This window comes from Homo sapiens, chromosome 12 (assembly GCF_000001405.40).
Source record: "Homo sapiens chromosome 12, GRCh38.p14 Primary Assembly".
Classification (NCBI taxonomy): Eukaryota; Metazoa; Chordata; class Mammalia; order Primates; family Hominidae; genus Homo; species Homo sapiens.
The window spans coordinates 2847242-2857679 of NC_000012.12; the positions used below are offsets into that span (position 1 = coordinate 2847242).

Genomic DNA, 10438 nt, shown 5'->3' on the forward strand with positions numbered 1-10438 from the left:
CATTCATAAGTACACAAATCAGTGGCATGAGGTGGTCCCTTCCCAATGTTGTGCTGTCATCACCACTGTCTGTTTTCAGAACTTTGTCATCATCATCCCCAACAGAAACCCTGTACCCATTAAACAGTAACTCCCGGCCAGACGCGGTGGCTCACGCCTGTAATCCCAGTAATTCCAGCACTTTGGGAGGCCGAGGTGGGCGGATCACAAGGTCAGGAGATCGAGCCCATCCTGGCCAACACGGTGAAACCCCGTCTCTACTAAAAATACAAAAAATTAGCCGGGCATCGTGGCGCACGCCTGTAGTCCCAGCTACTCGGGAGGCTGAGGCAGGAGAATTGCTTGAACCCAAGAAGTGGAGATTGCAGTGAGCCAAGATCACGCCACTGCACTCCAACCTGGGTGACAGAGTAAGACTGTCCAAAAAAAAAAAAAAAAAGCCCCCCAAAAAAATCACTGACTCCCCATGCCCTTCCTCCAAGCCCCTGATATCTTCTATTCAACTTTCTGTCTCTATACGTTTGCCTATTCTAGGTACCTCACGTAGGTGAAATCATACAATATGTGTGTGGCCTTTTGTGTCTGGCTTCTTTCACTCAGCATGATGTTTTCAAGTTTCATCCACACTGTAGCATCTATCAATACTCAATTTCTTTTTATGGCTACATAATATTCTATCTACTTATTATTTTTATTCTATGAACACTGATTGACAGCTTCATTTCTGGAGGGCCACCAGTGTGCTACACACTTTGCAGGTCCTTCACCTATATTCTTGTATTTATTCCATTTATTTATAAACTAATGGTCCCCATTGTGCAGGTGAGGAACCTGAAAGCCAGAGGGAATAGTGACTTTTCCAAAGGTCACATTGCTGCTTAGTGGTTAAAGCAGCTCTAGAGCCCTGTGATGTCTTGATTCCCAGGTGCCTGCAGGGCTTGAGAGAAATGGAGACAAAGAAGGCCGTGGGCAGGAGGCCAAGAGAAGCCCAGCAGGTGTGACCATCAATGTGGGAATGTGATGGGGGTGGGAGGAGGTGAGGTAGGGCCCCCACCATTTCAGCTTCTTCCCCTCCAGCCACCTTCCCATCACCCTCCCCAACCATCTCCACCCCAGCCAGGGCCAACACCATTCTGACTGTTGCTTTGCCTGCCTCTACTTTACCCCTGGTCTTTGACTCCCTGATAGAAAAAGCTGAGGCCCAAGGCCTCTGGGCTGACTGCTCTTTTGGCATAAGTCCTCCACACCCTTCCCCCACAGGTATCCCCAACAGGGTGTGGAGAGGCCGCTCTTTTACCTTGAAGTTCTACTTTGTTCTACTCTTGTTCCTCTGCTGAGACCTGGTTAGCCTTCCTGGGGCCTGACTCTCCCATTCTCCAGCACCAGCCCTGACCTGACCTCTCCTCCTCCAAACCCTGCATGGGGCCCTGCAACCAAGCACAGCTGTGTCTGGTCTTTGTCCAGACATCAAATGGTCCAGGGAGGGGGTGGCATTTTGGTTATTTTTGCCTAAGAGGCTTTCTATACCCTGACCAATCCCAGCCTCATTCCCAATGGGTTATGAGAGTGGAGATAGCTTCTTCTTATCCATGTTTCTTACAGTGCCTCTTCCCCCACCCCAACAGACACACACACGCACACACACACACACACACACACACACACACACACTCCTTCCTTCCCACTTCTCCTCTCCTTAGGAACTGGAGCCCCTCCCTGTTCTCCCTGCTCTACCCAGCCTCCTGGCCGCAGTCCTCCCACCTTCGATGAGAGTCCTCCAAGGAAGAAATATAACAATTTAGAATTTCAGTTGAATCTCCAATAGCCTGGGGTACAGAGGTGGCTTGAGGCTGGGAGGATGGTGGAGAGGCTGTTCTGCAGAAGCCAGAGTCCTTTTGCTACCCCAGGGCCTCTTGCTGAAGGAGCATTGATTGAGAACACTGGAGCCTGGGGCTCTGGGTATCACGATCGTCCCCTCTGGAAGCCCTTCTAGAAGTGTCCAGGTCTTCTCTTCCTCTTCCTTGCTGGGGATTTGCTTGCTTGTGCCTTGGAGAGATGGTGGAGGGGTAAGGCAGTTCTGTCCTTTATCAGGGTTTGGAAATCCCTTATGAGGTCCTGGCTCAGGGGCGCGCTGGGCAGCAAGGCCAGCTTTAGCACCTTCTCCTGGTAGTGAGGCAGAGGGTTTGGGCAGGGCCAGCTCCTGGCGAAATTATTGGGAAACGGGTTGGGCATGAGCTGGAGGCCCTGGGGTTCAAACCTCCCACCAGCGGATATGTGCCGGTACCTGTTGGGAGAAGGGTATGGAGAGAACAGAGAGATCAAAGAAGAGATCCAGGGACAGTGGAGAGACGGGGAAGGGGAAGGGTGATGCCGCTGTCCACAAGCTAGTTAGCCATCAGGCGGCAGGGAATCCCTTCTGTCTCTCCACCTAATCGGATATTGACCTGTGCCAAATGGCCTGCACCTTATGTGTGTGTGTTGGTGTTAGGCTGGTGAAATAATGTCGTGCAGCTAGTAAGCCTTCCATCCTTTTGACATACTGCATATAATATTATGATCCAGATCCCAATCCAGATTCTAACTGTCCTTCAAGTCTCACCTTTTCCACTAATGCAGTGACAGTGGGAAAATCACAGAACTCAGCTCAACTGGATAACTGCCTCTTCTCAGTAAGCCTGCGGTATTGGGTCGAACAGTAGGAAACAGACTTTTGTTTCTTTTAACACAGCTGAATAGTGGCCAGTTTTCTATGACTCAGCGCACTTTGCCCCTGGTTCGGCAGATAGTCCCCTGTTTGCTGTTGTTGGTTTATGCAGGGGCTCTCAGCCTGGCTGCACATTACAATCACCCTGGGAGCTTTTAAACACAACCCACCCACACTGCCCTCAAGGTCAGTTAGTTAGAATCTCCAGAGGGAGGCTCAAACCTCAGCATTTGAAAAAAGAGCCCCTAGGCCGGACCCAGTGGCTCACACCTGTAATCCCAGCACTTTGGGAGGCCGAGGCGGGTGGATCACAAGGTCAAGAGTTCGAGACCAGCCTGGCCGACATGATGAAACTCCGTCTCTACTAAAAATACAAAAATTAGCCAGACATGGTGGCAGGCACCTGTAGTCCCAGCTACTCGGGAGGCTGAGGCAGGAGAATCACTTGAACCCGGGAGGAGGAGGTTGCAAGCAGTGAGCCCAGATCATGCCACTGCACTCCAGCCTGGGCAAGAGCAAGACTCTGTCTCAAAAAAAAAAAAAAAAAAAATGGGGCCCCAGGTCATGATAATGGGCTGCCAGGTTTACATGTAAATGTTGTATTTCCTCAACAAGATCATGCTTACATCTCATTCTATGTCTGAAGTCCTCTGGGTCCCTACAGCTTCAGTGCTTCAGTGTGCTCACTGACTGATCCAGAGTCTTTGTTTTTGTTTTGTTTTGTTTTGTTTTGTTTTGTTTTGTTGAGACAGAGTCTCACTCTGTTGCCCAGGCCGGAGTGCAGTGGCACGATCTTGGCTCACTGCAACCTCCATCTCCCAGGCTCAAGTGATTCTCCTGCCTCAGCCTCCCAAGTAGCTGGGATTACAGGTGCACCACCACTCCTGGCTAATTTTTTATATTTTTAGTAGAGATGGGGTTTCCCCATGTTGGCCAGGCTGGTCTCGAACTCTTGACCTCAAGTGATTCGCCCGCCTTGGCCTCCCAAAGTGCTGAGATTACAAGCATGAGCCAACACACCAGGCCCAGAGTCTTTTTTTTTTTTTTTTTTTTTTTTGAGACAGAGTCTCGCTTAGCCAGGCATGGTGGCACGTGCCTGTAATCCCAGCTACTTGGGAGGCTGAGCCAGGAGAATCGCTTGAACCCAGGAGGCAGTGAGCAGTGCCGAGATCATACCATTGCACTCCAGCCTGGGCGACAAGAGCGAAACTCCATCTGAAAAAAAAAAATTAAAGATTTAAAGATGTATAGGGCACTTACTGTGATGGAGTTTGCAAGACTGGAAGTTGCTCTGGGTGAGTGAGTGAGTGGAGAGTGAGTGAGTGAATGTGAAGGCCTAGGACATTACTGTACACTACTGTGGACTTCATAAACACTACATGATTTGGTGACACTAAATTTATTTATTTATTTTGAGATGGAGTCTGACTCTGTCCCTGATGCTCGAGCACAGTGGCCATGATCTTGGCTCACTGCAACCTCCACCTCCTGCATTCAAGCGATTCTCCTGCCTCAGCCTCCCGAGTAGCTGGGATTACAGGGCCCCGCCACCATGCCCGGCTAGTTTTTGTATTTTTAGTGGAGACAGGGTTTCGCCATGGTGGCCAGGCTGGCCTTGAACTCCTGACCTCAGGTGACCCACCTGCCTTGGCCTCCCAGAGTGTTGGGATTACAGGCGTGAGCCACCACGCCCGGCCGCTAAATTTGTTTTATTTTAATTTTATTTATTTTTTTTATTTTAATTTTTTCCCAAGATGTAGTCTTGATCTGTCACCCAGGCTGGAATGCAGTGGCGTGATCTCAGCTCACTACAACTTCCACCTCCCGGGTTCAAGTGATTCTCCTGCCTCAGCCTCCCCAGTAGCTGGGATTACAGGCATGTGCCACCACGCCTGACTAATTTTTGTATTTGTAGTAGAGAGAGGGTTTCACCATGTTGGCCAGGCTGGTCTTGAACTCCTTACCTCAAGTGATCTGCCCGCCTCAACCTTCCAAAGTGCTGGGATTACAGGCGTGAGCCACCATTCCCGGTCCACTAAATTTATTTTTAAAATGAGGTAATTGTGCTAAAATGTTAAGACAACTTCAACATCATCAGGCAGGAGTTTTTTTTTTAGCTCCATTATAATCTTATGGGACCGCTGTGGTATATGTGGTCTGTCACTGACCAAAAGGTTTTGTGGCACATGACTTCCTGTTATGTGTCCTGCCTTCTCTGGGGACCTAATTCCTTGTCTGAGACACATTCCTTCATTCCTGGTTCCAGGGCCTGGGCCTACAGCAGTAAACATGTGAGACAAGGATCCTACTGTCATGGAGATACCATACTAATAATGATACAATCTATTGAGCCCCTTCTGTATGTATGCTAGGCCCTGTGCCATTTGACCCTCTAACCACCTTAACCACCTGCTGTGGGAACTGTTTTTTTTTTCTTTTGAGCTAGGGTCTCACCACGTTGCCCAGCCTGGAGTGCAGTGGCACAGTGATGGCTAACTGCAGCCTCGACCTCCTGGGCTCAGACAGTCCTCCCACTTCAGCCTCCCATGTAGCTGGGATTATGGGCATGTGCCACCATGCCTGGCTAATTTTTTGATATTTTTGTGGAGACGGGGTCTCATATGGTGCCCCAGGCTGGTCTTGAACTGGCCTCAAGCGATCCTCCCACTTCGGCCTCCCAAAGTGTTGGGATTACAGGCATGAACCATCATACTCGGCTAGGCAAGATACTTGACCTGTCCAGCTCAGATAGCCCACCTGTAAAATGGGGTTAATGAGGCCGGGCACGGTGGCTCACGCCTGTAATCCCAGCACTTTGGGAGGCCGAGTTGGGCCTGAGGTCGGGAGTTCAAGACTAGCCTGGCCAACATGGAGAAACCCCGTCTCTACTAAAAAGTACAAAAATTAGCCAGGCATGGTGACGGGAGCCTGTAATCCCAGCTACTCAGGAGGCTGAGGCAGGGAGAATGGTTTGAACCCAGGAGGCGGAGGTTGCAGTGAGCCAAGATCACACCACTGCACTCTAGCATGGGCAACAGAGGAAGACTCTGCCTCAAAAAAAAAGAAACAACAAAAAAAAACGGGGTTAATGATAGTTTCTACTCAGAAGGTCCTGGGGGATTAAATAATACAGAGAAGTGTTTGGCAGAACACCACCTGGCACTGTCATGCCACTGTGAGTCTCTCTGGAGTACTCTAAGTCTTTCTCCCCTTTGCCAGGGTCAGCACCTATCAGCAACTGGCAATCTTCAGGGCAAGGGTAGCAGGGAAGCAGGGAGAAGCCTGGGTCCCCACAAAGGAGACTGATCTCTCAAAGTCACCAACCTTTGGTTTTTTGTTTTTTTTTTTAAACAAAGTCTCGCTCTTGTCACCCAGGCTGGAGTGCAGTGGCGTGTTGGCTCACTGCAACCTCCACCTCCCGGGTTCAAGTGATTCCCCTGCCTCAGCCTCCTGAGTAGCTGGGATTACAGGCGCCTGCCACCACGCCCAGCTAATTTTTGTATTTTTAGTAGAGACGGGGTTTCACCATGTTGGCCAGGCTGGTCTCGAACTCCTGACCTCAGGCGATCTGCCTGCCTTGGCCTCCCAAAGTGCTGGGATTACAGGCGTGAGCCACCAGGCCCGGCCTGTTTTTTTTGTTGTTGTTGTTGTTTTTGTTTTTGTTTTTGTTTTTTTTTCAGATTAAAAATCTTCACAGCCACTCCAACTCCCCAGTGCTTTGGTCCTGCCCTTGGGATTGGAATTTGAGACATTCCTTTTCATTGCCTTCCCCCTTTCTTGTTACTCTTGCATGCGTAGTGCCTGGGCTGGACACAGTTGGGAAGCATCCGTGAGTTCCCAGGGTGGCCGGGAGGGGGAGCTGCGGGGTTCACAGCGGCTCCTCTCAACGTTCCTGGCTCCGCTCCCGACTTCTCAGCCCTGCCTGGAGGGGCTCAGCCACTGCTTTTAGCTGTCTGCTGGCTTTCCACCCTTCCAGCCTGAACCCTGACTTCCCCATGAGGCCTTCCTGTGGCGGGGACACTCCAGGTCGCTGCACCCCTTCTCTCCTGAATTTCTGTAACGACATCTAACTTTTATTTAATTAATTTATTTATTTAGAGATGGAGTTTCTCTCTTGTTGCCCCGGCTGGAGTGCAATGGCACCATCTTGGCTCACTGCAACCTCCGCCTCCCAGGTTCAAGTGATTCTCCTGCCTCAGTCTCCTGAGTAGCTGGGATTGCAGGCACCCATCACCACACCCGGCTAATTTTGTATTTTTAGTAGAGATGGGCTTTCTCCATGTTGGTCAGGCTGGTCTGGAACTCCCTACCTCAGGTGATCCGGCCGCCTCGGCCTCCTAAAGTTCTGGGATTACAGGCGTGAGCCACCACGCCCTGCCATAACATCTAACTTTTGTTCAGTTCTTCCACATATTCACTAGCTCAATTTATCCTCCCACAGTGAGGTCGGTACCTGAGGCTCCCCCCTTCATCGGTGAGGGAGCTGAGGCTGGAGAAGCTGGGCACCTCACCATGGTGATGGGGTTGGAACTGTACTCCAGGCCTTCGGGCTACAGCTTTCACTCCAGTTCTTTACATTAATAACTGACTTCCTTACAACACCCCCTGTCTCGCACTCTGGGCCCTTTGCATGTGTAGCCTTTTTTTGATAGCTATCTTTGCAAAGCTCCTTGAGGGCAGGCACTGAGTCACACTTCTCTGTGTCCCCAGTGCCTACCAGGTGTCACCTGCATAGCTGTCCCCCAGATTTTAGTGAAACTCCCTGCCTCCACTCGCTGTTCCTCCCTTGTCTCCACCTCGTCCTTCCAGCTACACTCAGAAAAGAGTTTGGTTTTCAGATGGCCAGAGCGGGGAAGGACAGAGTCCCGGTTAGAAACAGGAACCTGAGAGAGGGAGGGGTCACCTGGGCAGGGCAGGCTGGGTGGGCTCCCTGAGGAGGCACCGTCTTACTTCTTGAAGCTCGCTGGCGGCTGGATGTTGCCCTGGGCATCGAGTGGGGGTGCTCTTGCCTCACTCCTCAACTTGAGCTTCTCCACCTCCTTCAACTCCTTCACTGTCCTGAAAATCACCTGCTTCTTCCTTTTCATGTCCACAAACGTGGGATAACAGTGGATGAAGGTCAGGAAGCTGTTTTGCCCCATCCAGGAGGGAGGGGGGATGGGGTGCTCCGTGGGGGGGCATCTGTGGGCATTGGAGTCGGTCAGCCAGCGCCAGACATTGCTATCGTAGGGCCTGTCAGGCTGGGTGGGGAAGGTGGCAGGCAGACGGCACACATCGAGCCACGTGTGAAAGCCCCAGGTGTGCTGGGCGCCACCCTTCCAAGGGTGGATGAGCCGCTGACGCACCTTGGACTTCATATCTGTGCAGGGCGGCAGCTTCAGAGCCAGCTGGTGGTAGGCTTGCCGGGTGAAGCCAGGGAACTCCCAGGACTCGCTGGGGAGGAAGAACTCACGCTGAGCCCACGTTTGGGAGGGTGGGAGGGACTCGCTGGCCTGGACCATCTAGGGAGAGACAAAAGGGAGCCTGGGGAAGGTTGTGCAGACAGGGGTGCAGAAAGGTGGGTGAGGCACTCCGCTCTCCTTCCCAGGCACGACCTCTGCCAGCCCAGGATTCTCATGAGGACGCAGAAGTCCTGGCAGGGCCGCATCTCCATCCCTCTCCTTCCCGGCGGAAGTTATGGCTGCTGCGTATCATCTTCACAGTCACTCATCTTTTGATCTCTTGCCATTGACCATATTTTGGCTTTGACTTCCCACCCTCTGTACTCAGCTTTCACTCTTTACCTTCACCTCCCTCCTCCGTTCTGGCATCCCCACATTCCCACCCAGGAACTGGTGCTCCTTAGAGGGCACATCAGGCCTCAGGAAATCATGAAGGGAAATGCTCCCTACCATGCCAAGGGGGGCAGCCCACCTTCACTTGCTCCTGGTCTTGGCGGTATACCAGGAAAGTCCTCCAGAAAATAGGGCCAGGGGTTTTCCCATCCCAGACTCCTCTCAATACTCATTTGTCCGTCACTGACGCTTTCCTCCCACTCCTCATTAAAACGCTAGTATAGAAAGCATCTAGAATGGCAGCTCCTTCCCCTTTCTGCACCCTGCCCCCCATTAAATAAACAGCAGCAAGTACATATTGATGCTGTGCTAAATACTTACATGGATCTTATTGAACCCCCACAACTCTATGAGCAAGTATTGCTATCGTCCCCATCTCAAAGATGCAGAAAGCAACACACAGTAAGGGTAGGTGACTCACACAGGGTGCTGGTGCCTGAGTGACAGCTGGGACTTAAGCCCTCTGTCTGTGCTCTTGCTTGGCATACCATGCTGGGTGAAATGAAATGGCCTTACTTAGCACAGTGCCTGACTGCAACAAAAATGTGCCTCTTTTAAAATGCTTCGCCCTCCTATCCATCCCCAGGGATGTTTTCTTTTTTTAGATGGAGTTTCACTCTTGTTACCCAGGCTGGAGGTGCAATGGTGCAATCTCGGCTCACTGCAACCTCCACCTCCCGGGTTCAAGTGATTCTCCTGCCTCAGCCTCCTGAGTAGCTGGGATTACAGGCGCGTGCCACCATGCCTGGCTAATTTGGTATTTTTAGTAGAGACGGTTTCATCATGTTGGCCAAGCTGGTCTCAAACTCCTAACCTCAGGTGAACCGTTCCCCTCGACCTCCCGAAGTGCTGGGATTGCAGGCGTGAGCCACTGTGCCTGGCCCCCAGGACTTTTCTGATTGCAAAAACCCACCTGTTTCTTGAGCTTGGGCCCCTAAGTCATTTCTACAGGATCACCCCAGTGGGTGGGGCTGGGAGATGTGGCACTAGCCAGGCATCTCCTCTCTGTTCTGAGCTCTGGGTTCCTAGTGTCATAGGATGAAAAGGGGAAGACAGCAGAAAATGTATGGGCCAGGCAGTCTGCTGCCCAGAAGAAAGCCTGGCCCACTATAAGGGACAGCCTGTAGCCCAGTGGGGTACAAAAAGGTAGGCGGCAGAGATGGGCCACCCCCTACCTGCAGGAAAGGTTCTTCCATATGAGATGGGTGACTGGGCCCTCTGAGTGATCTTTGCCGGTTACTGGCCATTCTTCTGGGCCTCAGAGCCAGGAGGGGCGGCTTTGTGGGGAAGCCCTTTCTGGCACCATTGTTTACTCCTGGGGTTGCTATGGTGATGCTGCTTGAGTGGTGATGCAGAGAAGAGGCCCTCACCTGTCCCTGGAGCCTCTTGTGACCCTTGGGCCCCTGGCTACTTTTCAGGTTAGACAGGCAGGGGATAGCACTTTCTTCAAGTTCTGACTGCAAAAAACTGTAACAGGAGCTGCTGCCGGGCAGAAGAAAAGCAGGGCAGGCTGGCTCCCAGGCCTCAGGGTGGGGATGGCAGTGGGAATGAAGCACCTGTAACTGGGCCCTTCCTGCCCTAATGTTCAGGGGGCCCTACCCCTCGTGAGCTTGTCTTATTAAGAACCCTCAAAAGGCCTAAGTTAACCAGCAGGTCCAAAGGTCCCAAGGAACAAGGTCAGAGACGCCAGGGAAAAGAGGTGAGCTGTGCAGGACTAGCACTGGGAAAACTGGCAATTTGTGTTGTCAAGTGTGTGCCTGTGCAAGTGCTCCAACTGCTGCTTTGGGTGAACTTCAGGCCTTGCCTCTTCCCTATCACCATCGTCTCCATCAACACCCTCTTTCTTTTCCAGCCTCTCCTGGTGCCTTAGGAATCAGACGCCAATAAACCACAGAGCCCA

At 51.7% G+C, this 10438-nt stretch overlaps 2 protein-coding genes across 5 annotated transcripts in view; one reads left to right on the top strand and one right to left on the bottom strand.

Moving 5' to 3' along the window:
• Positions 1–10438, top strand: part of ITFG2 (integrin alpha FG-GAP repeat containing 2) — a 47124-nt gene that overhangs the window by 34574 nt on the left and 2112 nt on the right. The gene's annotated exons all lie outside the window — the stretch shown is intronic.
• Positions 482–9798, bottom strand: TEX52 (testis expressed 52). 4 transcript variants are annotated; one of them, XM_047428053.1, is made up of 4 exons: positions 9714–9798; positions 7655–8205; positions 1762–2284; positions 482–1427 (listed from the first exon to the last, which is right to left on the bottom strand). In XM_047428053.1, the coding sequence occupies exons 1-3, from the start codon at positions 9783–9785 to the stop codon at positions 1990–1992; spliced, it is 918 nt and encodes a 305-aa protein (XP_047284009.1). In that variant the 5' UTR covers positions 9786–9798; the 3' UTR covers positions 482–1427; positions 1762–1989. The 4 variants fall into 4 exon arrangements, 3 of the variants coding, with proteins under 3 accessions (XP_047284009.1, NP_001352103.1, NP_001352104.1); NM_001365174.2 differs by lacking the exon at positions 482–1427 and having other exon boundaries at positions 1805–2284; NM_001365175.2 differs by lacking the exon at positions 482–1427 and having other exon boundaries at positions 1805–2284; positions 7608–8205.